The following is a 27909-nucleotide window of genomic DNA, read 5'->3' as shown; positions in this document are numbered from 1 at the left end:
CTGGGATTACAGGCATGCGCCACCACGCCCAGTTGACAAGCATTTTCTTGTGTGATCCTCGCAGCAGTTCTCTGTGAAGCAGGCATTGCTATCCTACAGGTTGGGAAAAGAGGGCCAGAGAGGATCAGTGACTTGCTCACGGTCGCGCGGCCTGGAAGACATGGAGAGCTGGACCAGCACGCACAGTCCCTAACCACTGGGACGTGCTGGCGGGGGCTACCTCCGTGAGGTGTGTGTCTCCGGTCGCCCCGCCCCCGGTGTGTGCGGAGGAGCAGGCGGGGACTACAAGTCCCGGCAGCCCCGGCGCGGGCGCTGCGAGGGCCGCAGAGGGCCGGGCGGGGCTTGCGGCGCGCACGGAGGGACTGCGGCAGTGTCGGAGCCGCGCCGAGCCTGGTGGCCCAGGTGCCCCGCCCGCGTCAGCCCTGCTCCAGCCCCGCGCTAGCCCAGCGCCCCTCGCCCCGGGCCGTCCGGACCGCGCCCCCGCCCAGGGCCTTGCGCACGCCGGGGCCCAGGCCGAGGGCCGCAGCGCCGGGGCCGGCGATGAGCGCGAGGAGCCGGCATGAGCGCAGGTGAGTGCGGAGTCCGGGTCGGCCCCGAGCCCGGCGCGGTCCCCGGCCCGCCAGTTGTCGTCACCCCTTGGAGGGAGAGGGGAGGCGACGCCCCCCACCGCGGGGTCGCGAGCCCAGGAAGCGGGACCTGGTTGGGGATCCTGGCCCGTCCCCTCCCTTTTGACGGGGACTCGGCCCCGGTTTCTTCCCAGAGACGCCGGGGCTGGGGATGGCGCCGCCGCTCGCAGCCGGTCCCTCCCCTCCCCTGCACCCCTCAGCCGCGGGATTGGAAGCCGGGCGCTTGTGCAAGAGGGTCCTGGGGCCGTGCGGGGACGGGGAGGCCACCCCACGCCCACTTAATCGGATCCCACCCCGAGTGACGGATGTCCAGGTGGGGGAGACGGCTGCATCCTCGGGCCTCTGGGCAACCCCTCTGGGCTGAATGAATGAATGAATGGCGTTGGGGGAGTCGGGACTCCATTTCCTGGGTAGATGTCCTGGGCCACAGCGCCACTCCTGACCTCCTGCCTCAGACCCCAGAGAAAACCCGTCACACCCAGGGCCAAGGGCCACACCCTCCATGCAACCCATCCCTGGCCAGATGTCCTACGCCCACTCCTCCAGGGTCTAATTTAAATCCCACCTGCCGGGAATGGGGCCAGTCCTCCTCCCCTATCCAGAAAGGTCTCATCTCAGTGTCTGTCACTCAGCCCCCAGCCCCACAGCCTAGAGTGCACCCCCCGGCGAGGGAGGGGAAGGAATGAGGAAAGACAGCCCCTAGAATCCAGATCCAAAGATGGGAAGATGGTTCACACACACTCCCGCCTCAGCCTGGCAGAAGACAGGAGCTCCCCGCCGCCGGGAACCACAGCCAGGGAGGAGGCAGCCGCCCTGGGCCGCTGCCAGGTCACCAGCAGGAAGCCAAGGCTTCCGCAGGAAATAAGAGGTCCCAAATGGCTCTAGCCCCTCTGATCCACAGTGCTGGTGACACTGCCCCGAGCTGTGACCTCAGACGAGGTTCAAGTCCAGTCTTGGCCCCTCATAGCTGTGTGACTTTGTGCTTGTCAATCTACTCCTCTGGGCCTCGTTTTAAATGGGAATCCTAATCTGTACTTTTCATGGAATGGCTGTGGGAAAGAATGTGCCCATTCAGACACACTCATTTCCAGCTTCTCCCCTTTCAAGCTCTATGACCCTGGACAAGGGATTCACATGCTGTTCCTCAGTTTCCCCAGGTGTACAATGGGGATAATAATAGTCACTACCCCAGAGGGTTGTGTGTGAAGCTTCATTGAGTTAGCACACTGAAGGGCTTCCGCAGGGCATGGTGAGCACTCCATGGGAGCTGCTGTTCATCAGAAGAGCAATGACAGGCCAGGCGTGGTGGCTCACGCCTGTAATCCCAGCACTTTGGGAGCCTGAGGCAGGCGGATTACTTGAGGTCAGGAGTTCAAGACCAGTCTGGCCAACATGGGGAAACCCCGTCTCTACTAAAAATACAAAAATTAGCTGAGTGTGGTGGCATGTGCCTGTAGTCTCAGCTACTTCAGGAACTGAGGCAGGAGAATTGCTTGAACCTGGGAGGTGGAGGGTGCAGTGAGCTGAGATCTCTCCACTGCACTCCAGCCTGGGAGACGGGCAGGGGGGAAGGGGGGAACGGGGGGGGAAGACTCCATCTCAAAAAAAAGAGCAATGCCATCATGAAGGTGCTCTCGCCCCCCCACACAGCCTGTGGGTGCCTGTTCTGGGCTGGTCTGAGCCCACAGAAGCCCTGGGGAGACTGGGCTGTGGCTGGGGATAAACAGATGTACTGCAGGAGAGAGTGCCCTGGGCTTGATCCCTGCAGGGAGGGGCTCTGGAGGTTTCCACAGCTGTGACTTCCTCCCTCAAGTTCCACTCCCCTTTTCCTCTTTGCCAAGGTTGACTGAGAGAGTGTCATTGTGAAGTGACAGTCATACGATTGCCATGAGGAAGAACTTCCCAGGGGGACCGCTGTTTACATACTGGGGACTCTGCCCTCTTTTTGAAGAACCTTTTCTTCATAAAGAGTCTTGAGGCCGGGTGTGGTGGCTCACACCTGTAATCCCAGCACTTTGGGAGGCTGAGGTAGGAGGATCAGCATGAGGCCGGGAGTTCAAGATCAGCCTGGGCAACAAAATGAGACCCTGTCCCTACTAAAAAAAAATTAGCCTGGTGCAGTGGCACCTGCCTGTAGTGCCAGCTACTTGGGAGGCAGAGGCAAGAGTACCTCCTTTAGCCTAGGAGGTCAAGGCTCCAGTGAGCTAGGATCATGCCACTGTGCTCCAGCCTGGGTGACAGAGTGAGACCCTGTCTCTTTTAAAAAAAAAAAAAAAAAAAAAAAGGAAGAGGCTCAAGCCCCTCCCCCCAACTCCCAGCACCTTTGCCTTCAAGCTCTGTTGTGTCCAAGAGACAGACATTCATTCATTCAGTCAGTCGGTCAATCAGTGTTTCCTGACCCCTGAGCACATGGCAGGTACTGTGAGCAGTAAGGGCAGTGACACCCATCTGAGCCTGATGCTGAGGGGAATGTCAGGAGTAGATGTGCTGGGCAGAGAGGACCTGGGAGTAAGGCCAGCCCTGTTCCAGCTTTGAGACAAGTCTGAGGGCAACTGCCCCAGAGGCTCAGTGCTCTCGTTTGTCAAACTGGGTAAGAGAGCCCACCTTGTGGGTTGGTGCGGGAGGAAATCAAATCAGCACCGCAGGGATGGCTCCTTTCCCATCATCCCTGAGCCCGCTGGGCTGTTGGCCTGAGGGTTTTTTTTTTTTTTTTTGAGTCTTGCTCTGTCACCCTGGCTGGAGTGCAGTGGCGTGATCTCAGCTCACTGCAAGCTCCACCTTCTGGGTTCACACCATTCTCCCGCCTCAGCCTCCCAAGTAGCTGGGACTACAGGCGCCTGCCACCACGCCCGGCTAATTTGGTTTTTATATTTTTAGTAGAGACAGGGTTTCACCGTGTTAGCCAGGATGGTCTCAGCTAGTCTCCACCTCCTGACCTCGTGATCCGCCCCCCTTGGGCTCCCAAAGGGCTGGGATTACAGGCGTGAGCCACTGCGCACGGCCGGCCTGAGGGTTTTAAGGTACAAGGAGCAACTGTTGAATGGGCCTAGGGAGCCGTGGGACAGCCAGGGCTTCAGACAGGGTGATGTGAAAGGAGAAGAGAGCCTGGGAAATGGATAAGCAGAAGCCACGCCCCCCTGACCTGGGAGCCGGGTCCTGCCCACCTGTCCACGCAACCCCCCCAGGAACTTCAAATGCTTCTACCTCCCTGTGTGCTGGATGCTTCGGGACTATCATCCTAGAGATGAGAAATGGAAGCCCAGAGAGGCAAAGGCACTTGCTGTATGAAACACAGCATCAAAAAAGAAATTCTTAGGAACAAATGATGGGCAAAAAGACAAAACCCTGTCTCTACAAAAAAAATTAGCTGGGCATGGTGGCCTGTGCCTGTAGTCCCAGCTATTTGGAGGCTGAGGTGGGAGAATTGCTTGAGCCTGGGAGGTCAAGGCTGCAGTGAGCTATGATCGCAACACTGCACTCCAGCCTGGGTGACAGAGAGAGACTGTCTCAAAAAAAGACTTATACACGAAAACTGTAAGCTGGGCATGGTGGCTCACGCCTGTAATCCCAGCACTTTGGGAAGCCGAGGCTACAAGAGTGATAAGTAAATAAATGAATGAATGAATGAATGAAAGGACATCACAACCGAGGTTACCTGGCAGGGTTGATACGTTAGCCATGTACCCTGTGCACAGTGAGCCCTCTAGGAGTGTTGAAGCCAGAGTGCTTGGGGATGGGGCTGCTCAGAGGCTGGGGGTGCTGTGCCCACAGCAGCTGCCTGGGGCACTCTGGACTCTTTGGGTAGAAATTTTAGAAGGGCTCGCCGGGCGCTGTGGCTCACGCCTGTAATCCCAGCACTTTGGGAGGCCGAGGCGGGCGGATCACGAGGTCGGGAGATCGAGACCATCCTGGCTAACACGGTGAAACCCCATCTCTACTAAAAATACAAAAAATTAGCCGGGCGTGGTGGCGGGCGCCTGTAGTCCCAGCTACTTGGGAGGCTGAGGCAGGAGAATGGTGTGAACCCGGAAGGCAGAGCTTGCAGTGAGCCGAGATCGCGCCACTGCACTCCAGCCTGGGTGACAGAGCGAGACTCGCTCTCAAAAAAAAAAAAAAAAAAAGGAAAAATTTTAGAAGGGCTCAGATTGGGGGATGAAGGAGGGAGCCCAGAAAATCAGCAGCCTACCCCGCACCCGCCCAGCTTTTCCAGCTTAGTGAGCTTTTTCAGAGGCTCTTGTGAAACCACAGATGCCTAGCACCATCCCTACCCCGGCCTGAGGAGTTGATCCAGCCAGTCTGGGGAGGGCCCTGGCATCTGCATATGTAAAAGGTGCTCCAGGTGGTCTGGGACCGTAGATGAACCCTGACAGAGGCTGTCCAAGGGTGGGGCTGGTGAGCTCTACCCGCTCTGGAGCCCCAGAACATCCACTGGCTGCCTGCCCTGCTAAGGCCACAGCTCTACAGCACAGGAGGAAGGAGTGAAAAGAATGTCTGTGGCCGGGCGCAGTGGCTCAGCCTGTCAGCCCAGCACTCAGGGAGGCAAGGCGGGTGGATCACCTGAGGTCGGCAGTTTGAGACCACCCTGACCAGCATGGTGAAACCCCGTCTCTACTGAAAATACAAAACTTAGCTGGGCGCCTGTAATCCCAGCTACTCGGGAGGCTGAGGCAGGATAATCGCTTGAACCTGGGAGGCAGAGGTTGTAGTGAGCCGAGATCATGCCATTGTATTCCAGACTGGGCGACAGAGCAAGACTTCATCTCAAAAAAAAAAGAATATCTGCAATAGAACCACCTGATACCATTCCCCAAGTCTCAGTTTACCCATCTGTAAAGATAGGCCTGCAGGGCTGACCGTTTATTAGTCCAGACTTGACTTTGCATCTCCTCACTGCCAGACCTGGGCTGGGCACGGGCATGGAATGAAGATAAGCATCCCTGACCCCTGCCCTCAGGGTGGGGACTGGATGAGGATAGAAAAGTGAGACCCAGAGCTCCAAGGAAGCTAATGGCTGGATGCACGAGCACCATGGGGGCTTGGGGCACTGTCCAGGCCCCATTCTCCAATTCTGGGCCATACCCAGCAGAAAGACCGACACACGCAAGGAAACAAGACACTACTGGCCAAGCACGGTGGCTCATGCCTGTAATCCCAGCACTTTGGGAGGCCAAAGTGGGCAGATCACTTGAGGTCAGGAGTTCGAGACCAGCCTGGCCAACATGGTGAAACCCCATCTCTACTAAAAATACAAAAATTAGCTGGGCATGGTGGTGCATGCCTATAATCCCAGCTACTCGGGAGGCTGAGGCAGGAGAATCGCTTGAACCTGGGAGGCAAAGGTTGCAGTGAGCTGAGATCAAGTGACTGCACTCCAGCCTGGGTGACAGAGTGACACTCCGTCTCAAAAAAAAAAAAAAGATACGGTAAGTAAGAACCGACGGAAAGAAGAGCCAGATAAAGGACACAGGAAGACATGAGCTTTGGGCTCTGTCAGACCAGGTGCTTACTGTTTTGTGTTTTGTTTTGTTTAGTTTTTTGAGATGGAGTCTCACTCTGTTGCTCAGGCAGGGGTGCAGTGGTGTGATCTTGCCTCACTGCAACCTCTACCTCCCAGGTTCAAGTGATTCCCCTGCCTCAGCCTCCTGAGTAGCTGAGATTACAGGCACGCGCTGCCACGCCCGGCTAATTTTTTTTATTTTTAGTAGAGATGGGTTTCACCATGTTAGCCAGGTTGATCTCGAACTTCTAACCTCAGGTGATCCACCCGCCTCGGCCTCCCAAAGTGCTGGGATTACAGGCGTGAGCCACCGCGCCCAGGCTGATGTTTATTGTTTTTAAGGAAGCAAGAGGAGAAGGTGCCTCCCCAAATGACCTTTCTCTTTTCTGTCCACAGACAGCAGCCCTCTCGTGGGCAGCACGCCCACCGGTTATGGGACCCTGACGATAGGGACATCAATAGATCCCCTCAGCTCCTCAGTTTCATCCGTGGTAAGTGGGCAGAGTGGGGTGGGGAAAAGCTGCAGGGGGTGAATGCCCAGGCCCACCCAGACACCCCAACTTCCTACTCCAGCCCCGTTCCCACCCCGACCTGGGCCCTCTCTCGCTGCGTTCGCAGAGGCTCAGCGGCTACTGTGGCAGTCCATGGAGGGTCATCGGCTATCACGTCGTGGTCTGGATGATGGCTGGGATCCCTTTGCTGCTCTTCCGTTGGAAGCCCCTGTGGGGGGTGCGGCTGCGGCTCCGGCCCTGCAACCTGGCCCACGCCGAAACACTCGTTATCGAAATAAGAGACAAAGAGGTGAGAGTCAGGCTGAGCCTGGGGCTAGAGAAGCGCAGTGAGGGTCAGGGTCGGGGGTGGAGGATGCTTGGGTGCCAACCCGGCCACTGACTTTCCATGGGACATTAGGCAGGTCCCGCTCTTCTCTGGACCTCAGCTTTCCCATCTGAGCATTGGGCAGAAGGGACGGGTCGGGTGGTTTCTGGAGGGCTCTCCATAGCCTTGATTTCTGCCTTCTCCAGCAGGGGCCGCCTGGCTGTAGGACAGGGCCTGGGAGGGGAGGGGACTCTTCTGAGACTGAGTCCATACCTCTGTGTTCCAGGATAGTTCCTGGCAGCTCTTCACTGTCCAGGTGCAGACTGAGGCCATCGGCGAGGGCAGGTGAGGCAGCCCCATTGCCCCTTCCCAGAAGCCCCTGCTACCCTGGCCTCCCCAACTTCCCCAACCCTCGGCCCCCCCATAAAGGCTGACTCTGGCGCCTCCCATCCTAGGGAGGGAAGATGGCTCTGTGAGCACAGGGAGGTGCCAGGGCAGCTCCCAGAGCTCGAGAGTAACCCTCACCTGCTTCCCCAGCCTGGAGCCGTCCCCACAGTCCCAGGCAGAGGATGGCCGGAGCCAGGCGGCAGTTGGGGCGGTACCAGAGGGTGCCTGGAAGGATACGGCCCAGCTCCACAAGAGCGAGGAGGCGGTGAGTGTCGGACAGGTGGGTTCTGAAAAAGTCCTTGCCCCTCTCTCGGCCTCGGTTTCATGATCTGTGCAATGGGAGAGTCAGACTTCATGTTCTCCCACCACCTTTTAGTTCTGTTGTCCCAAACATCCAGGATGCTGTCTGAGCACGTTTACACTTTCAGGCCTCTCCCCACCTCTCTGTCTGGTGACACCAGTCCCTGCCCCCTACCCCCATCCCTCGGCTCCCAGCATAAGCACACTGCTTCTGGGGCCGGGGCCAGCTTCCAACCCATCCTCTCCTCTCTCCCACCCAGAAGCGGGTGCTGCGGTATTACCTCTTCCAGGGCCAGCGCTATATCTGGATCGAGACCCAGCAAGCCTTCTACCAGGTCAGGTAGGAGTCAGGGCCTGTGTGGCTCATGTCACCTCCCAGAGTGGCACTGGTTTGGGCACAGACGGTGGCATGGCATGGCCTGGGCTCCCCTCTCAGCTCTGATGCTTTTGCTGTCTGAAACCTTGGGCAGGTTACTGAGCCCCTCCAGGCCTGGGATCTCTGTCTATAAATAGGGCATGAAGATAACTTCTGCCTCCTAGGATTGTTTTGATGGTGAAATAGATAATAATTTATGTAGAGCTTGGCACCGAATGTGATCTGAGGTTGTGACACCACTGTGAATCAGACTATCAGCTCTGTACTCAGACTGTCTGCTTGGGGTTTAGTCACTGCTCTGCCACCTACAAAAGGCTTAAGAAACATGAGCTCAGGCTGGGTGCGGTGGCTCACCCCTGTAATCCCAGCACTTTGGGAAGCCAAGACAGGTGGATCACGAGGTCAGGAGTTCAAGATCAGCCTGGCCAAGATGCTGAAACCCCATCTCTACTAAAAACACAAAAATTAGCTGGGCGTGATGGCATGTGCCTGTAATCCCAGCTACTTGGGAGGCTGAGGCAGGAAAATCGCTTGAACCTGGGCGGCAGAGGTTGCAGTGAGCCAACATCGCGCCACTGCACTCTAGCCTGGATGACAGAGCATGACTCCATCTCAAAAAAAAAAAAAAAGAAAAAGAAACACAAGCTCACCACACACCTTAGTTTGTGTGTATGTGTGTGTGTGTGTGTGTGTGTGTGTGTGTGTGTGTGGTTTTTTTGGTTTGTTTGTTTGTTTTTTAAGATGGAGTTTCACTCTTGTTGCCCGGGCTGGAGTGCAATGCCGCATTCTCGGCTCACTGCACCTCCGCCTCCTGGGTTCAAGCGATTCTCCTGCCTCAGCCTCCCGAGTAGTTGGGATTACAGGTGCATGCCACCACACCCAGCTAATTTTTGCATGTTTTGTAGGGACGGGGTTTCACCATGTTGGCCAGGCTGTTCTCAAATACCTGACCTCAGGTGATCCACCCGCCTCAGCCTCCCAAAGTGCTAGAATTACAGGCATGAGCCACCGGGCCCTGCTCACACACTTTAGTTTGAATGCCGCAGAAGCAGACCCCCAGACAAGGGCTCAAGGGCAGGGAGTTTGTTTTGAAGCTGATCCCAGGCAGTGCTGGGGAAGGGATGGAAGCACGGAGGGAGGTTATGCTGGCTGCCACAGCTGTGGACACCCGGACTTCAGTCGCCTGGGGATCTCCTTGGGCCAGCGTAGACCACACACCTCTGGGCGACCTCACACAGGGAGTGAGGACAGTTACCATCAAATTCCCTGCCATTATCAGTCACGGGACACAAAGTCTTCCACGCTTTCCGGGCTCACAGGCAGGGGATTCACATGCAGCCAGAAGGCCTCAGGTAAAGACAGGTGTTTTCAGGGTCCAGCTGTCATGTGGAGGTGAGGCAGAGGGGAGATGGGGATGGCAGCAACAGCCTCTGCTGCATGATGGGGATAATAGCAAAAATCACCCGTGCATTCATCACTTAGCAAGTGGCAGGCACGTCCAAAGCAGTCCCCGAGGCTTGCCCCACTTAATCTACCCATGGCCCTATGTGGTAGGTGCTGTCACTGCCCCCATTTTGCAGATGAGAAAACTGAGGCACAGAGAGGTTAAGTGACTTGCCCAGGGTATCATCAGTGTAAATAGTGCCCTTATCACTAAATAACAGCTACTCTTTTCACTGTTCATATTATTAGCATCATCTCTCGCTGTTCTCCTTCTTCAGTGACTTGGTTTGGAACCCAGTGAGAGGAACAAAAGGGCAAAGCCAAGCCTTGGGTTCAAGGGGGCTTACTTGCTCCCAGGAGCTCAGTGTGGCAGAACGGGGATGGGGGGCCTAGAGCCCATAGTCTCCAGCCTGCACAGGGTGGGGGATGCAGACCTCAGGCCCCATGGCCCATGCGTGTCCCCTCGCACCCACCCCCAGCCTCCTGGACCATGGCCGCTCTTGTGACGACGTCCACCGCTCCCGCCATGGCCTCAGCCTCCAGGACCAAATGGTGAGGTCAGTGCTGCCCTGGACCGGGGTGCCCTGAGAACTGGGGCTCCTTGTGTTGCCCCCCAATGTGGTTGCCTTCCAGTCACCTGCCTTCTCTGGGCCTCAGTTCCCCCAGCTGAAAGTGGGGAGCTCCTTCACCCCGGGAGGGTCCAGCCACAGCTCCTCCTTCTGATGGCTTGGCCTCATCCCCTCTTCCAGGAAGGCCATTTACGGCCCCAACGTGATCAGCATACCGGTCAAGTCCTACCCCCAGCTGCTGGTGGACGAGGTAGGGCTGTCCCTGGGTCTTGCCCCAGCCCTGCCTGGCGTGCTGTGTGACCTTGGCCCAGGGCTTGCCTCCTCTGGGCCACTTTACGGTGGCAACCAGACCAGCTGTCCCCTTCTCCATAGTGGATCGTCATCTCAGAACCTGCCGCAGTCAGCCTAGCCAGAGAGACCAGGTCCAGGAATTGGAGGTTCTGCCCAAGGCTTGGGTCACAGATTGGGGCCCCACTCATAGGGATTGGAGGCCAAGAGGCAAATCCACGCAGCCTGAGCATCTATGGGGTCCCCAGAGACACGCCCTAGAGCCTGGGTCCTCTCTGTGCGTCCTCCACTTTCATGCTCCCAACAGTCCCGTGGGTTGGGCCTGGGACTGCACTGTTCACACCTGAGAAATCCAAGCTTCAGTTGGAGGCTGTGACATGGCCAAGGTCACACAGGGACAAAGAGAAGCCAGTGACCTGGACACAACTAGAATAAAGTGTGAACATCCCAGCCCTCTGATCGGGGGCAGGCACCATGAAAGAGATCTTTGAGTCTGGCCCCATAGAAATCAGTCTGTCACTTAGAAGCTATGTGGTTTTTTGTTTTTTGTTTGTTGTTTTTTTTTTTGAGACAGAGTTTTGCTCTTGTTGCCCAGGCTGGAGTGCAATGGCGTGATCTCGGCTCACTGCGATGTCCACCTCCTGGGTTCAAGTGATTCTCCTGCCTGAGCCTCCTACATAGCTGGGACTACAGGCGCCTGCCACCACGCCCAGCTAATTTTTTTTTTTTTTTGTATTTTTAGTAGATACGGGGATTCACTATGTTGGCTAGGCTGGTCTCAAACTCCTGACCTCAGATGACCCACCTGCCTCGGCCTTGCAAAGTGCTGGGATTATAGGCATGAGCCACCGCACCTGGCTGGAACTATGTGGTTTTAGGCCAGTGGCTTCACCTGTCCATGCCTTGGTTTCCTCATCTGTAGAATGGAGCTAATGGTGGTACCGGCCTTGTAGAATTGTCATTGCCATTGTATGACACTTAGATAAAGCACTTGGCGTGTAGTGGGGGTTCAGTAAATACCCTTATCCTATTTATTTATTTGTTTATTTTTTTTGAGACAGGGTCTCCCTCTGTCACTCAGGCTGGAGTGCAGTGGCGCGATCTCAGCTCACTGCACCCTCCACCTCCCCAGCTTAAGTGATCCTCCCACCTCAGCCTCCTGAGTAGCTGGGAGCGTAGGCACAGGCCACCCCATCAGGCTAATTTTTGTATTTTTTGTAGATATGGGGTTTCGCCATGTTGCCCAGGCTGGTCATAAACCCTTGTCCTCTTTAGAGCGGAGAAACTGAGGGCCCTGGGGATGTCTGGTTGGGTGGGGATGGGATTGACCAGGAGAAAGGCCTGGCTCCAGTCCTTTGGCAGCCACTGGGCCCTCTGCTCCCATGGGCACAGGAGACCCAGCCTGTGGCTGGGCTGCCCTGGGGGACGCGGCCCTGACGCTGCCTCCCGCCCCTCCCCCAGGCACTGAACCCCTACTATGGGTTCCAGGCCTTCAGCATCGCGCTGTGGCTGGCTGACCACTACTACTGGTACGCCCTGTGCATCTTCCTCATTTCCTCCATCTCCATCTGCCTGTCGCTGTACAAGACCAGAAAGGTGAGTGCCATAAGGTGGGTGGGGACGGGACAGGTGGGTCCCCAGGGGCCCCCACCCACTCACGGCCCTCTTGTCCCCTGCCCACAGCAAAGCCAGACTCTAAGGGACATGGTCAAGTTGTCCATGCGGGTGTGCGTGTGCCGGCCAGGGGGAGGTGAGGAGCTAGGGCCCAGGGGGCGGGGGCAGGAGTGGGAGGGTGGGGGGGCATGGCTGGGGCTGGCCCCACCTAGCTGAGCTCCTCTCCTGCCTGCCTGCAGAGGAAGAGTGGGTGGACTCCAGTGAGCTAGTGCCCGGAGACTGCCTGGTGCTGCCCCAGGAGGGTGGGCTGATGCCCTGTGATGCCGCCCTGGTGGCCGGCGAGTGCATGGTGAATGAGAGCTCTCTGACAGGTGAGCCCCCAGCCCCTGGCCTGCAGCTTCCTTCCTCCCCTGCCATCCAACCCTTTGCCCTGCGGCAAAAGTTTTCATTTGAGTTTCCTTTTCCTTTTTTGTTTTTTTGTGAGACGGAGTTTCACTCTGTTGTCCAGGCTGGAGTGCAGTGACATGATCTCAGCTCACTGCAGCCTCCACCCCCCAGGTTCAAGTGATTCTTGTGCCTCAGCCTCCTGAGTAGCTGGGACCACAGGTGCATACCATCACGCCCAGCTAATTTTTTATTTTTAGTAGAGATGGAGTTTCACTATGTTGCCCAGGCTGGTCTTGAACTCCTGACCTCAGGTTATCTGCCCACCTCGGCCTCCCAAGGTGCTGGGATTTCAGGCGTGTGCCAGCGCTCCGCCTCCTCTTCCTTTTTCTCTCAAGCAACAATCCCAGCTTTAGGACTTGCTAACCTCACACCCCTGGGCCGTTACCACGTATCATCTCCGTGCCTCAGTTCCTTCTTCTGTAAGATGGCTGTCAGTCACTCCTCCTGGACAGAGTTGTGCAAAGTGCTTAGGAGCGTGAGAGGTGCAGCATAAATGGCCAGCCACCCAGTGCATCTGGGCTATTTCTCCTTTTTTTTTTTTTTTTTTTTTTTTTGAGATGGAGTTTCACTCTTGTTGCCCCGGCTGGAGTACCATGGTGCGATCTCAGCTCACTGCAACCTCCACCTCCTGGGTTCAAGCGATTCTCCTGCCTTAGCCACCCAAGTACCTGGGATTACAGGTGTGCGCCACCATACCCGGCTAATTTTGTATTTTTAGTTGAGATGGGGTTTCACCACGTTGGTCAGACTGGTCTTGAACTCCTGACCTCAAGTGATCTGCCCGCCCCAGCCTCCCAAAGTGCTGGGATTACAAGCATGAACCATAGCACCTGGCTGCATCTGAGCTGTTTCTATACCAGTGCCCACCTTCAGGTCATAAAGATTCCAGATGGCACAGGAGAGTGGGAAGCCCTCTCCCAGAGTGAGAGACTGCGGTCCCCATTCACTACCCCACAGTCCCCTTCCCTTCCCCTCCCCAGGGCAGCCACTGTGAAGGGTGTGAGGTGTCTTCCACGCCTTTTTCTGCATTACGTGTGTGCACATGGGCTGATTTGCCTCTCCTTTTGTTCTGAACGTGGGATTGTATGCTGTGTATTGTTCCATACTTTGCTTTTTCTCCTGGCATCCTTCCACAAGCACGGATGGCCCCACCTCATGGCTGCATGAGAGTCCACAATACGGATGTATCGTAACTGACTCAACCGGCCCGCTCGCCATGAGTATTTAGAATGTGATTTTCCAGCCATTGCAAAGGACGCCACAGGAGCAGCTTTGTCCTGTGTCTCTTGATGTGTGCAAGTATTTCTTTCTCTGAGATGTGTTATATTTTGGTGGTAGATACTGGAGAGAGTTTACTAAAAACCACAGGATAGTGGTTTTTTTCCAGGGAAGTTTTCTGGCTGGCATTGTATTTGTATCACAAATCGTAGGCCAGGCGCAGTGGCTCGCACCTGTAATCCCAACACTTTGGCAGGCAGAGGTGGGTGGATTGCCTGAGGTGAGGAGTTCGAAAACAGCCTGGAAATCATGTTGAAACCCCATCTCTACCAAAAATACAAAAAATTAGCCAGGTGTAGTGGTGCACGTCTATCGTCCCAGGTACTTGGGAGGCTGAGGTGGGAGGATCGTTTGAGCCTAGGAGGTGGAGGTTGCAGTGAGCCGAGATCGCACCACTGCACTCCAGCCTGGGTGACAGAGTAAGACTCCGTCTCAGAAAACAAAAAAAAAGTAGTAATTGTGATCAGTATGATTTGTGGGCACACGCCCTGAGCCCTGCCCTCCACAAACTGTCCACACATACTTCATCTGCTCATCTCTTGTGAGGCAGACATGGCAGGATTGTCTGACTCCCTTGCAGGAATGTGCACACAGTAGGTGCTCAATAGTCCCAGCCTGCAGGCATTCAGTAAGGGAGTGCCACTGTTTGCTAGGCAGCCTGCCCAGGACTTCACAGGGCCATGGCGAGCATGCAGTGCTTTTCTCACTCCAACTCATGGAAATATTTGCCCCCTCCATGTAAATATTTCTCTCCCCTCCCCCTCCTCCTTCCCCCTCCCCTTCCTTACCCCATCCCCTCCCCTCCCCTCCTCTTTTGAGACAGAGTTTCACTCTGTTGTCCAGGCTGGAGTGCAGTGGCACGATCTCGGCTCACTGCAACCTCCGCCTCTCTGGTTCAAGTTATTACCCTGCCTTAGCCTCCCAAGTAGCTGGGATTACAGATGCCCACCACAACACCCGGCTAATTTTTGTATTTTAGTAGAGACAGGGTTTCACCATGTTGGCCAGCCTGGTCCCGAACTCCTGGCCTCAAGTGATCTGCCCACCTCAGCCTCCCAAAGTGTTGGGATTACAGGCGTGAGCCACCGCATCTGGCCCCTTGTAAATATTTCTGTTGGTTGGAGTTAGAAAAGCACTCCATGCATGTTATAAAATAATTCCAGCAGAAAGAGAACGACTCCCCCACCCTGCCCCACTGCACACATGATGCCCACACATGCTCTGTCTGACCCACCCCCCCCCGCTGGTTCCAGGGAGCTGGCTGCCACCTGCTTCCAGGAGTGTCTCCCTGTGCCTTTATATCTCCGTCCTCTCTGAGCCTCAGTGTTCCTCTCTGTAAAATGGGGCTGTGATTTCTTGTTCACACCTGGTTACAGAGTTAACTGAGACTTAGAGCTTGTGGGACAATTCTACACAGAACTCCTGGTTTGCTGGTGGGAGGGAGGGGTGTGGAGTGGTCCTCACACCACGTTCCCCACCAGGAGAGAGCATTCCAGTGCTGAAGACGGCACTGCCGGAGGGGCTGGGGCCCTACTGTGCAGAGACACACCGGCGGCACACACTCTTCTGCGGGACCCTCATCTTGCAGGCCCGGGCCTATGTGGGACCGCACGTCCTGGCAGTGGTGACCCGCACAGGTATGAGCCGGGAGGCTGGGCTTGAGAGAGATCCCGGGCTCAGCACCCTTGGGAGAGGTGGAGTGAGGCAGGGTGGGACCTGGAACCCTGGACCCCACGCCCACCTCTGCTGCTGCCCTGCTGTGGGACCTCGGGCCAGTTGCCCCCCATCTGGGGTCTGAGCATTCCCATCTTAGCAGAAGTTGGGCCAGACTAAGGCCAAGCATTGCAAGATCTGGAGGAGCCGCCGGGGTTACAGTGCTGGAGCGGGCAGGGATGTAGCGGGCAGGCAGGAGCCTTCCCTGTGTCTGGATTTTCAGTGGAACCACCCAGTGTTTAGATGCTATCCACTAGTTCCTTGTTTAAAGCCCTTAAAAAGCCTACAAGAGCCGGGCCAGACCTGTTAGGACTCCACACTGCTGATGGCTAATTTCACAAACATCATGTCTTGCAACTCCAGAGGCACGGGTCGGGAGGGCTAGGGGTGGGGAAGGCCTGCCCTCACCCTGGCTTCCCTGCCTTGGGGTCCCCGCCTCCTCCCCAGGGTTCTGCACGGCAAAAGGGGGCCTGGTGAGCTCCATCTTGCACCCCCGGCCCATCAACTTCAAGTTCTATAAACACAGCATGAAGTTTGTGGCTGCCCTCTCTGTCCTGGGTGAGTGGCCCCCTGCACCCTCCTCTGCCCATAGCCCCCCCCACCTGGGTCCCAAATCCCACTCAGTCCTTCGCTGTCCCCACAGCTCTCCTCGGCACCATCTACAGCATCTTCATCCTCTACCGAAACCGGGTAAGCCTTGGGGGTGGGGTGGGGGGTGCTGCCAGCAGGGCCCAGGGGCCAACCAGCCAGGTGCTCACATTCATGGTGCCCCCTGCCAGGTGCCTCTGAATGAGATTGTAATCCGGGCTCTCGACCTGGTGACCGTGGTGGTGCCACCTGCCCTGCCTGCTGCCATGACTGTGTGCACGCTCTACGCCCAGAGCCGACTGCGGAGACAGGGCATTTTCTGCATCCACCCACTGCGCATCAACCTGGGGGGCAAGCTGCAGCTGGTGTGTTTCGACAAGGTGGGGCCGCAGGTGGGGTTGGTGCAGGGGAGCGGGACAGCCACAGGCGCCCCAGTGAGGCCTCCACACCCGCGTTATTCTCTCAGCAGCACCCACAGGATGCCAGGTCCTGTCTAGGGATGGAAACCCCCAGAGGATCCACCCCATCCCACTCCTGCCCTCACTGGGCTCACGGTCTGGCAGATGAAATGTCTAGAATCATGTATTCATGTGTTCAAGAACTGGTGGGGGGCCGGGCGCGGTGGCTCACGTCTGTAATCCCAGCACTTTGGGAGGCTGAGGCAGATACATCACTTGAGGTCAGGAGTTCAAGACCAGCCTGACCAACATGGCAAAACCCCGTCTACTAAAAATACAAAAGTTAGCCAGGCATGATGGCACATGCTTGTAATCCCAGCTACTCGGGAGGCTGAGGCAGGAGAATCGCAGAGGTTGCAGTGAGCCAAGATCATGCCATTGTACTCCAGCCTGGGTGACAGAGCAAAACTCAAAAAAAAAAAAAAATTACTGGTGGGGACCTGGGGCCCTAGTGTGCATCCCGTGCTGCTCCCAACCCTTGGGGCCCAGCAGTGACCAACACAGGCATCCTTGTGGTCACTGGAGTGTGTGTGTCCCCCACCAAAGTAAGTGATCCAGGAGTGCACAAAGGAGCTGCTGGGGCTGAGGAGTGGGCAGTGGGTTTTAGGAAGGAAGCCAGTGGGATAGCTTGATGGGTTCTAGATGGGGACACTTCCTTAGAGAGAAGGCAGTCAAGGAAGCCCCCTGAGCAGGTCCCTCAGTGACCTCAGTGAGGGGCAGGTCGAGGAGAAGCAAGGGTAAAAGGTGGGAGTGTCATAGCACAGATGTACCGTGTGCCTGGGGCACAGGGAGTGGCGTGGCACAGATGTGCTGCGTACCTGAGCACAGGGAGTGGTGGAGCAGGACAGGGCCGGGTAGGCAGTGGCCTGGTTGACAGAGGCTAGGTGACATTCAGAGGCTGTCGGGGGCCACAGAGCGCTTTTAAACTGGGGAGGGGGCCCAGCGCAGTGGCTCATGCCTGGAATCCCGGCACTTCGGGAGGCCGAGGCGGGTGGATCATGAGGTCAGGAGTTCAAGACCAGCCTGGCCAATATGGTGAAACCCCGTCTCTACTGAAAATATAAAAAATTAGCCAGGCACGGTGACATATGCCTGTTGTCCCAGTTACTCGGGAGGCTGGGGCAGGAGAATCGCTTGAACCCGGGAGGCAGAGGTTGCAGTGAGCTGAGATCACACCACTGCACTCCAGCCTGGGCAACAGAGTGAGACTCCGTCTCAAAAAAAAATAAATAAACCGGGGAGGGGGATGACCAGATTCTTATAGTTCCCAGGCTAGCCAAGGAGCCAGACGCGTACTTGGGCAGTTAGAGTCTAGGATGGGGAACGCAGGCACTGACTCATGCGCTCATTCAACAGATATATTGAGGCTGGGCGTGGTGGCTCATGCCTGTAATCCCAGCACTCTGGGAGGCCAAGGCGGGTGGATTGCCTGAGGTCGGGAGTTCGAGACCAGCCTGACCAACATGGTGAAACCCCGTCTCTACTAAAAATACAAAAATTAGGTGGGCGAGGTAGCGCGTGCCTATAATCCTAGCTGCTCGGGAGGCTGAGGCAGGAGAATCACTTGAACCCGGGAGGTGGAGGTTGCAGTGAACTGAGATTGCGCCACTGCACTCCAGCGCGGGCGACAGAGCAAGACTCCATCTCAAAAAATAAAAATAAATAAAAATAAAAATAAATAAATAAATAAATAAATAAATGAGAGAGAGAGAGCGAGCCAACCGTGGGCCGGGTCCTTAACCACAATGCACAAGTGTGGGGAAGTGAAGAGGCCATGGGTAGGAGCCCAGAGCAAACCACCTGCCCTAACTTGGGAGTTAAGGAGGAAGACACCCTGGAAGAGATGATGCTAGACAGAGAGACGGTGGGGGCTGGGGAGGGGGACCCCAGCAGAGGGAATCACATGTGCCAAGGACAGCAGTCAAGAAAGGTCATCTTTTGGCTCCAGCTCGAGTTCCTGGGGTTCCCATAGGGTCCGCCGGGCCTGGGGTTTGGAGGCCCAGCTCAGCAGGGTACCCCCATCCCAGGACTCATCGCTGCCCCACCCACCTGTCTCCCACAGACGGGCACCCTCACTGAGGACGGCTTAGACGTGATGGGGGTGGTGCCCCTGAAGGGGCAGGCATTCCTGCCCCTGGTCCCAGAGCCTCGCCGCCTGCCTGTGGGGCCCCTGCTCCGAGCACTGGCCACCTGCCATGCCCTCAGCCGGCTCCAGGACACCCCCGTGGGCGACCCCATGGACTTGAAGATGGTGGAGTCTACTGGCTGGGTGAGGAGGCCAAGCAGGTCAGCCCCCTGCCTCTGGGCAGTGGGGCCTAACGAATCCCACCCTGTCTTCCCTCTCCATCTTTCAGGGTGGTCTCTTATTATGCCCACCATTAATAATAATAGGCCAGGCGCAGTGGCTCACACCTGTAACGTGGCTCCCGGCGCTTTGGGAGGCCAAGACGGGAGGATCACTTGAGCCCGGGACCCCAGCCTGACCTACATGGCAAAACCCCATCTCTGCCAAAAATACAAAAATTAGCCGGGCGTGGTGGTGCATGCCTGTAGTCCCAGGAGGCTGAGGTGGGAGGATTAATTGAGCCCGGGAGGGCGAGGCTACAGGGAGCTGTGATCACGCTACTGCACTCCAGCCTGGGTAACAGAACGAGACCCTGTCTCAAAAAATAATAATGATAGGCCAGGTGCAGTGACTCATGCCTGTAATTCCAGCACTTTGGGAGGCTGAGGTGGGCAGATCACCTGAGGTCGGAAGTTTGAAAGCAGCCTGGCCAACATAGTGAAACCCCGTCTGTAATAAAAATACAAAAATTAGCCAAGTGCGGTGGAACATGCCTGTAGTCCCAGCTACTTGGGAGGCTGAGGGCAGGAGAATCATTTGAATCCGGGAGGCAGAGGTTGCAGTAAGCCGAGATCACACCACTGCACTCCAGCCTAGGTCACAGAGTAAGACTCTGTCTTAAAATAAAAGTAACATAATAATAATGGCAAGGCCTCAGGCTGAGTGCCTACTATGCGCCAGCGCACGGCCACAGAGGCCTGGTCTCATTTCCTCTTCCCCAAGCCCTAGCAAGCAAGCTCAAATGTTGCTTCACGGATGCTGAGGCTGGGAGATTTGGAGTGACGTATTCCAGGTCACCCAACAGCTTGTAAGTAGCAAAGCTAGAGTTTGAATTTGAGTCCACCGGGCTCCAAAGCCCACATTCTTAACCCACCATTCAGTCTCCCATGAAGGAAGTCTTCCCTGAGTCTAGCTCAAATCTCTCTGTGAGCCAAAGCCCCCAGACACCAAACTTCCCTGCCTGCCTGCCAGGTCCTGGAGGAAGAGCCGGCTGCAGACTCAGCATTTGGGACCCAGGTCTTGGCAGTGATGAGACCCCCACTTTGGGAGCCCCAGCTGCAGGCAATGGTGAGCTGAGGGGGGCCTGTTGGGTGCAGGGCAGAGGGGTGGGCTCCCCAGCCAGCACCTCAGCTGCCTCTCCAACCCTGCAGGAGGAGCCCCCGGTGCCAGTCAGCGTCCTCCACCGCTTCCCCTTCTCTTCGGCTCTGCAGCGCATGAGTGTGGTGGTGGCGTGGCCAGGGGCCACTCAGCCCGAGGCCTACGTCAAAGGCTCCCCGGAGCTGGTGGCAGGGCTCTGCAACCCCGAGACAGGTGCAGGGGGAAGCCCCTGAGTCCCCCTGGTTGGGCATTGGCACAGAATGGGGTGGGTACCCAGCCTCTGTCCCTGCCATCCCCTCCTTGTGACACCTGCCTCTCCCTGGCAGTGCCCACCGACTTCGCCCAGATGCTGCAGAGCTATACAGCTGCTGGCTACCGTGTCGTGGCCCTGGCCAGCAAGCCACTGCCCACTGTGCCCAGCCTGGAGGCAGCCCAGCAACTGACGAGGTGGGCCTGTCTCCTGTCCCACCCACTCTGAGGACTAGGCAGAGGGAGGCTCTCACGCAGGCAGAGCCCAAGGAAGATGCCCTGCCTGGTGGCTGGGAGAGGGGCCCTGGCCACTGCATGACCTCTGATCCAGGTCTGCCCACCCTCCAGGGACACTGTGGAAGGAGACCTGAGCCTCCTGGGGCTGCTGGTCATGAGGAACCTACTGAAGCCGCAGACAACGCCAGTTATCCAGGCTCTGCGAAGGACCCGCATCCGCGCCGTCATGGTGACAGGTACAATGGCATGTAGGGGCCCGGGCTAGCAGGGCAGAATCCGCCCCTTCCTGGCAGAGAAGAGGGGCACCAGGGATTCCTTTTTGGGGCATCTTTTTGGGCCCTTGCTTCAGGCCAGGTCCTTTTTAAACATTTCGTGAATCTTCACAATATCCCCCCCGCAAGTGGTAATTGTCACCCCTGTTTGACAGATGAGGAAACTGAGACTCAGAGGAGTGGAGTGACTTCCAAGGAACCCATGTGCGCTGTCAGACAGCCTGGGTTCCAGGTGGCACCTCTGAGAAATGGGGATAATGATGTCAGCCTCAGAGGCTGTGACAAGCTCAAGGAGCAGGAAGAGAAAGATTCTGGCCGGGCACGGTACTTCATGCCTGTAATCCCAGCACTTTGGGAGGCCAAAGGAGAAGGATGTCTTGAACCCTGGAGTTCAAGACCAACCTGGGCAACATGGCAAAACTCCGTCTCTACAAAGAATACGAAAATGGCCGGGCACAGTGTCTCACGCCTGTAATCCCAGCACTTTGGGAGGCCGACGCGGGCGGATCACTTGAGGTCAGGAGTTCGAGACCAACCTGGCCAACATAGTGAAACCCCGTCTCTACTAAAAATACAAAAAATTAGCCAGGTATGGTGGTGGATGCCTGTAATCCCAGCTACTCGGGAGGCTGAGGCAGGAGAATCACTTCAACCCGGGAGGTGGAGGTTGCAGTGAGCTGAGATCACGCCATTTCACTCCAGCCTGGGCAACAGAGAGAGACCCAGTCTCAAAAAAAAAAAGATTCTAGCTAGGGTGAGACAGCAGGAGCTAAGAGGTCTGTGTCCTTGTCCTCCCCGCCCCTGCACACACACATATGTGCACACACATTCATGGGCACTTGGCAGCAGAGTCACACAGCAGTAAGGAGTATATGTAGCCTGGGCACATGGCTCGTGCCTGTAATCCCAGCACTCCGGGAGGCCGAGGCAGGGGGATCACCTGAGGCCAGGAGTTCAAGACCAGACTGGCCAACATGGTGAAACCCCATCTCTACTAAAAATGCAAAAAAAATTAGCCTGGTGTGGTCGCACCCTCCTGTAATCCCAGCTACTCAAGAGGCTGAGGCAGGAGAATTGCTTGAGCCCAGGAGGAAGGAGGTTGCAGTGAGCCGAGATCAAGCCACTGCACTCCAGCCTGGGCCACAGAGAGAGACTCTTGTCTTAAAAAAAGAAAAAAAAGGAGTATATGTGGAGCTCCAGCCCACGGCTCCAGGTTCTCCTAAGACCCTTCAATGCCTGGATCTACAGATGAGAAAACTGAGGCAAAGGGATGTTGGTAACCTGCCTCAGCTCACTTGGCTGGTGGTGGCAGACGGATTTCATCCAGCCTGTTTTCCCATCTGTAAGGATCAGGATGAGGATGGCCTCCCCGGATAGCCTCAGACCCTCACCTTGCCCCATAACCCCCAGGGGACAACCTGCAGACAGCGGTGACTGTGGCCCGGGGCTGTGGCATGGTGGCCCCCCAGGAGCATCTGATCATCGTCCACGCCACCCACCCTGAGCGGGGTCAGCCTGCCTCTCTCGAGTTCCTGCCGATGGAGTCCCCCACAGCCGTGAATGGCGTTAAGGTGAGGCTAACCCAGAGTTCCAGCTGTACCTCACCCAGTGACCCCACCCCTGTGTCACCTGACCCAGGCCCCAACTCTCCAGGGTGGGCAGGGGGAGCTAAGCTGAGCTTCCTGGGCCCCCAGGATCCTGACCAGGCTGCAAGCTACACCGTGGAGCCAGACCCCCGATCCAGGCACCTGGCCCTCAGCGGGCCCACCTTTGGTATCATTGTGAAGCACTTCCCCAAGCTGCTGCCCAAGGTAGGGCCGCCCCCAGCTCCCTGGCCGCCCTGCGCCTCCCCTGCTCTGTCTCCTTCCTCACGGCTCGCTCTCCCTGGTGGGTGCCTCAGCCCTCCCCCATCTCCCTGTGCTCCCAGGTCCTGGTCCAGGGCACTGTCTTTGCCCGCATGGCCCCTGAGCAGAAGACAGAGCTGGTGTGCGAGCTACAGAAGCTTCAGTGAGTGCTCGGCAGAGGGTGTGGGCAAGGGCCTGCGGAGACTGAGCTTGTCCGTTCGTCTGTTCATCTGTCCTTCCCCAGGGCCCTGTCTCCCTCCTCAGGCACCAGAGAGCTGTCACCCCTCCTCACCAAAAGCAGGCAGGCTCTCCCAGGTCTTTCATGCTAAAAATAATAATTGTAGGCTGGGTGCGGTGGCTCATTCCTGTAATCCCACCTCTTTGAGTGGCCGAGGTGGGAGGATCACTTGAGCCCAGGAGTTTGAGGCCAGCCTGGGCAACAAAGTGAGACCCCATCTCTTATTAAAAATTTAAAAATTAGCCAGGTGTGGTGACACACCGGTCATCCCAGCTACTCAAGAGGCTGAGGCAGGAGGGTTGCTTGAGCCTGGGAGGCTGCGGCTGCAGTGAGCCATGATCACACCACTGCACTTCAGCCTGGGCAACAGAGCGAGACTCCGTCTCAAAAAATAGTAATAGGCCAGGCGCGGTGGCTCATGCCAGTAATCCCAGCGCTTTGGGAGGCTGAGGCAGGCAGATCACCTGAGGTCAGGAGTTCAAGACCAGCCTGGCCAACATGGTGAAACCCTGTCTCTACTAAAAATACAAAAATTAGTTGGGCATGGTGGCGCACACCAGTAATCCCAGCTACTCAAGAGGCTGAGGGCACTTGGGCAGCAGAGGAGGTTGTAGTGAGCAGAGATCACGCCACTGCACTCTAGCCTGGGCAACAGAGGGAGACTCTGTCTCAAAAAATAATAGGCCGGGCACGGTGGCTCATGCCTGTAATCCCAGCACTTTGGGAGGCCGAGGCGGGTGGATCACCTGAGATCAGGAGTTTAAGACCAGCCTGGCCAACATGGTGAAACCCCATCTCTACTAAAAATACAAAAAATTAGCCAGGCGTGGTGGCGGGCGTCTGTAATCCCAGCTACTTGGGAGGCTGAAGCAGGAGAATCACTTGAGCCCAGGAGGCAGAGGTTGCAGTGAGCTGAGATCATGCCATTACACTCCAGCCTGGGCAACAAGAGTGAAACTCCGTCTCAAAAAATAATAATAATAATGATAATAATAATAATAATTGCATCTATTCACTGAGCGCCTCCTGTACACCAGGCACCATGTGGCATTAGGGGCCCAGCTGTCATCATATTCTGCCAGCCCACCCATGGGGTGGTGGGGTAATTCCCCAGGCCACACCTGTCCACACCTCTCTTCAGGTACTGCGTGGGCATGTGCGGAGACGGCGCCAATGACTGTGGGGCCCTGAAGGCGGCTGATGTCGGCATCTCGCTGTCCCAGGCAGAAGCCTCAGTGGTCTCACCCTTCACCTCGAGCATGGCCAGTATTGAGTGCGTGCCCATGGTCATCAGGTAAGGCAGGCAGGGACCGGTGGGTGAGGGCTCAGCAGGGCTGGTCAGCCAACCTGGGTCCCCTAATGTCCGTGCCCTGCCACCCAGGGAGGGGCGCTGTTCCCTTGACACTTCGTTCAGCGTCTTCAAGTACATGGCTCTGTACAGCCTGACCCAGTTCATCTCCGTCCTGATCCTCTACACGGTGAGTATCTGCAGAGCTCCGTACCCAGAGCCGTCCCAGGACTAGGGAGGGGACACAGCCCTGTGCCTTGGAGCTGGCAGGTCCCAGAATAGATGACGTGGGCCCAGATCCTGACCCTGCCACTCTCCGGCTGTGTGGTTGGAGAGGTGGCAAGGCTTGGGGGAGATGAGAAAAACACCAGGCACGGAGCCTGGTACCCACTAGGTCCTCACAAATGGCAGCAGCTGTCATGGGCTAACATCTTGACCGCAACTCTGGGAGCTCCCCAATCTGCAGGGAAGACTGAACGGAGGCAGGGCCAAAACCCTCGCCCCCGCCCCATCCCCACAGGTCTGCCCATTTCCCCAGATGCACTTGCTTTGCCCCATACCTTGGCTGTACCTCCCACACCCTACTTGGAGGAGCTCTCCCCTCCCCTGCTCTGGGCATGGCCTGCTCACCCCCAGCGAATGAGGTGACACTGCAGGGCGGCGCACATCTTATACTTGGGTCTGTCCCTGTGTCTGCCTGAAAGCGAGGAGCTCCCTGAGGGCAGGAACTGTGCATGCCCTGGTAGCTATAGGGACTCCGCAAGGCAGAGCCGAAGCCTCCCCTTCGGGCCGGGAGTTTGTTACAGGGAGGGAAACCTCCCCTCAGATTTAGGCCCCCAAGGTCAGCACAGGTGCCCTTTCCATCAGACCAGGGGTTTGTCTCACATCAAGAGCGGCACCTCCTCCGCTGGGCTGGCAGGAGAGTACGGCCCCCATTAGACTGGGGGATGCCTTACCCATCAGATTCCTTCGGGGCAGGGGTGGGGCCTCTGCTATCAGACTAGGGGCTGCCAGGGCCAGGTCTTAGTTTCCCCTCTGTCCTCCCTTCCCTGTGGCAGATCAACACCAACCTGGGTGACCTGCAGTTCCTGGCCATCGACCTGGTCATCACCACCACAGTGGCAGTGCTCATGAGCCGCACGGGGCCAGCGCTGGTCCTGGGACGGGTGCGGCCACCGGGGGCGCTGCTCAGCGTGCCCGTGCTCAGCAGCCTGCTGCTGCAGATGGTCCTGGTGACCGGCGTGCAGCTAGGGGGCTACTTCCTGACCCTGGCCCAGCCATGGTGAGTAGGGAGCTGACTGACCACCCCCATCCCGCCCCTTCCCTGTCCACCCCACGTTCGTTCCCTGACCCCCATCCCTGTACCCCCAGGTTCGTGCCTCTGAACAGGACAGTGGCCGCACCAGACAACCTGCCCAACTACGAGAACACCGTGGTCTTCTCTCTGTCCAGCTTCCAGTACCTCATCCTGGCTGCAGCCGTGTCCAAGGGGGCGCCCTTCCGCCGGCCGCTCTACACCAATGGTGCCACTGCGGGCGCGGGCGGGAGATGCTGGCGGAGGGAGGGAGGAGCCCTGGGGTGCTGGGGAGGCAGATGGGAGAGAGGTGCCGGCCGAGTGGAAGACTGGCGTGCACACGTGTGTCTGTGGGTGCCGGGGGGGCGTGGCTCCTGCCTGAGAGACTCTCCTGCTCCCAGTGCCCTTCCTGGTGGCCCTGGCGCTCCTGAGCTCCGTCCTGGTGGGCCTTGTCCTGGTCCCCGGCCTCCTGCAGGGGCCGCTGGCGCTGAGGAACATCACTGACACCGGCTTCAAGCTGCTGCTGCTGGGTCTGGTCACCCTCAACTTCGTGGGGGCCTTCATGCTGGAGGTGGGGCCCGCCCTGGGTCTCAGCAGCGGGAGAGAAGGGAGGTGGGGGTGCATTGACCCCAGCTCAGCCCCGGCTGCCCCTGACACCCTCCCTGCCCTTTGCAGAGCGTGCTAGACCAGTGCCTCCCCGCCTGCCTGCGCCGCCTCCGGCCCAAGCGGGCCTCCAAGAAGCGCTTCAAGCAGCTGGAACGAGAGCTGGCCGAGCAGCCCTGGCCGCCGCTGCCCGCCGGCCCCCTGAGGTAGTGCAGGCCCACGGGCACCCCAGACACTGGAACTCCCTGCCTCTGAGCCACCAACTGGACCCCTCTCCAGCAACACCACCGCCACCACCTCCCACATCCCTGAGGTTGGCGACTGTCTACACTCCTCCCCCGAGACCACCCCCACCCTGGGGAAGCGTTGACTACTGTCCCCTACCTTGGACCATCCCGCGTAGGGGTGGCAGCCCCCAGCTCCCCTCAGTGCTGCTGTCAGTGTAGCAAATAAAGTCATGATATTTTCCTGGCTCTGCTGTGCCTGTCTTGTACCTGGCACCATAGACCCTCCCACCTGCCCAGGAGGAAATGCACATACCCCCGGGTGCCCAGCTGGCAGCCCCTGCACGTGTCTGCCCCTGGAACCCCCTGGGGGGCTGGTTTTTCAGGCTGGTTTTTCAGCCTGACAACCCCCTGGAACCCCCTGGTTTTTCAGACTCCATTGGCCAACTCCCCTCTCTGGGCCTGTGTTCCCTCATCTCACAGTAATAATGTTTCCTCTGTGTCCAGCATGTGCCTGGATATTCCGTTTAGCTTTTTTTTTTTTTTTTTTTTTTCTTGAGATGGAGTCTTGCTCTGTCACCCAGGCTGGAGTACAGTGGGGTGATCTCTGCTCACTGCAACCTCCGCTTCCCAGGTTCAAGCGATTCTCCTGCCTCAGCCTCCCGAGTAGCTGGGATTACAGGCATGTGCCACCACGCCCAGCTAAATTTTGTATTTTTAGTAGAGACAGGGTTTCGTCATGTTGGCCAGGCTGGTCTCGAACTCCTGACCTCAGGTGATCCGCCCACCTTGGCCTCCCAAAGTGCTGGGATTACAGGCGTGAGCCACTGCGCTTGGCCCCATTTAGCATTTTACACACATTGTCATGTCATCCTTCCAACAACTGTGGTACTATTCCCATTTTACAGATGAAGAAACCAAGGCTTAGAGGTTACACAAGTAGTCAGAGTGGGGCCGGATAGCTTTGACTCCAGCTTCGATGTTCCTAACCCTCCTACCCTCCTTTGGAGGACAAGGAGATGTAGGCTTGCCTGGGAGGCATTTGCTAGGGGGCAGCTCCCTCTCTCCCACCTTACCCCCTCCCCGTCCCACCCCAGCATCCTGGGACATGTTTGTGGGCAGTTCCTTCCTCAGATGAAATCCAGGCTCGGAGCCCACATCTCCCAGCCAGAACCACGCGCATCATCCCTCAGGGAAGGGTGGGTGCCTCTGAGCTCATCTCACCAGCGGGCCCCTGGCCAAGCCCCTCTGCTCTAGAGAGGCAGCTTGGCCGTCTGGCTCATCTGGGCAGGGGAGAACAGGAAAGACCGGCTGTTTCCTGCCTTCCAAAAGCCCTGGCCAACCTCATTCCTGGAACCCCTGGTGCTATCCCCAGGCCTGCCAGAGTAGGGGCTGAGAAAACGTTGAATCATGCTGGGGAGAAGGGATGTGGGTGTGAAGATGAAAGTCCTGCCAGGAGGCACATCACAGTGGACCTCTGCTCCTGGCACTGTGTTGCCAGCCAGCGACGGTTCAGGGTGGTAGATGCTGTTTAAGAGGAAGCCACAGAGAGGCCTGGGTTCAAATCCCTCCTCTACCCTTAGCTGATTATTCATGAATCTGTTGGACAGGTGTGTGCCAGGCACCAGGACTAACTCAACAAACTGAATAAAACGGGACAAAAACATGGTCTAACCCTGCGAGCAGTTCACCATCCAGCGTGAAAGCCTGGCAGGGAAGGAGCACATCTCCAAAGACGTAGTGGGAGCACAGCAACCACAGCCCCATCCCCTCCCCTGCCCAAAGAAACAGCCAGGGGAATGGGTAGAAGCAGCAGAG

The 27909-nt window shown here is 57.2% G+C and overlaps 1 protein-coding gene across 43 annotated transcripts, besides 4 other annotated features; it reads left to right on the top strand.

Moving 5' to 3' along the window:
- Window positions 206–735: a silencer, noted in NCBI's record as "silent region_339". NCBI's record gives its function as "represses an Ori minimal core promoter by ATAC-STARR-seq in GM12878 lymphoblastoid cells {active_cell/tissue: GM12878}" and the evidence as "EXISTENCE:reporter gene assay evidence [ECO:0000049][PMID:35858748]".
- On the top strand, window positions 370–26340 carry ATP13A2 (ATPase cation transporting 13A2). Of its 43 annotated transcripts, none has more exons than XM_047416553.1 (29): window positions 370–569; window positions 6520–6614; window positions 6742–6924; window positions 7226–7284; window positions 7477–7591; window positions 7890–7966; window positions 9925–10002; window positions 10195–10264; window positions 11791–11898; window positions 11986–12052; window positions 12156–12287; window positions 15123–15278; window positions 15802–15912; window positions 15998–16044; window positions 16134–16322; window positions 18463–18669; window positions 19717–19812; window positions 19896–20055; window positions 20169–20289; window positions 20440–20564; window positions 22011–22171; window positions 22295–22411; window positions 22528–22607; window positions 23824–23976; window positions 24064–24160; window positions 25029–25252; window positions 25342–25493; window positions 25666–25835; window positions 25940–26340. In XM_047416553.1, the coding sequence occupies exons 1-29, from the start codon at window positions 560–562 to the stop codon at window positions 26075–26077; spliced, it is 3498 nt and encodes a 1165-aa protein (XP_047272509.1). In that variant the 5' UTR covers window positions 370–559; the 3' UTR covers window positions 26078–26340. The 43 variants fall into 43 exon arrangements, with proteins under 43 accessions (XP_047272509.1, XP_047272506.1, XP_016856334.1 ...); XM_047416550.1 differs by having other exon boundaries at window positions 11764–11898; window positions 16134–16307; XM_017000845.2 differs by having other exon boundaries at window positions 11764–11898.
- Window positions 1226–1275: an enhancer, noted in NCBI's record as "active region_275". NCBI's record gives its function as "activates an Ori minimal core promoter by ATAC-STARR-seq in GM12878 lymphoblastoid cells {active_cell/tissue: GM12878}" and the evidence as "EXISTENCE:reporter gene assay evidence [ECO:0000049][PMID:35858748]".
- Window positions 2039–2118: an enhancer, noted in NCBI's record as "active region_274". NCBI's record gives its function as "activates an Ori minimal core promoter by ATAC-STARR-seq in GM12878 lymphoblastoid cells {active_cell/tissue: GM12878}" and the evidence as "EXISTENCE:reporter gene assay evidence [ECO:0000049][PMID:35858748]".
- Window positions 18557–19058: an enhancer, noted in NCBI's record as "H3K4me1 hESC enhancer chr1:17319735-17320236 (GRCh37/hg19 assembly coordinates)". NCBI's record gives its function as "activates a minimal SCP1, AML or CMV promoter by ChIP-STARR-seq in primed H9 embryonic stem cells {active_cell/tissue: H9 hESC(primed)}" and the evidence as "EXISTENCE:reporter gene assay evidence [ECO:0000049][PMID:30033119]".

This window comes from Homo sapiens, chromosome 1 (genome assembly GCF_000001405.40).
Source record: "Homo sapiens chromosome 1, GRCh38.p14 Primary Assembly".
Taxonomy (NCBI): domain Eukaryota; kingdom Metazoa; phylum Chordata; class Mammalia; order Primates; family Hominidae; genus Homo; species Homo sapiens.
This window is presented reverse-complemented; position numbering and strand designations above follow the sequence as displayed.

Excerpts from the sequence above, each read along its gene's own strand:
- ATP13A2 (XM_005245810.2), top strand. Across the intron at positions 10,265-11,763 it reads CCCAGCTGCTGGTGGACGAG|GCACTGAACCCCTACTATGG; the intron begins GTAGGGCTGTCC and ends CCCCTCCCCCAG. Across the intron at positions 20,565-22,010 it reads CCGCGCCGTCATGGTGACAG|GGGACAACCTGCAGACAGCG; the intron begins GTACAATGGCAT and ends CATAACCCCCAG.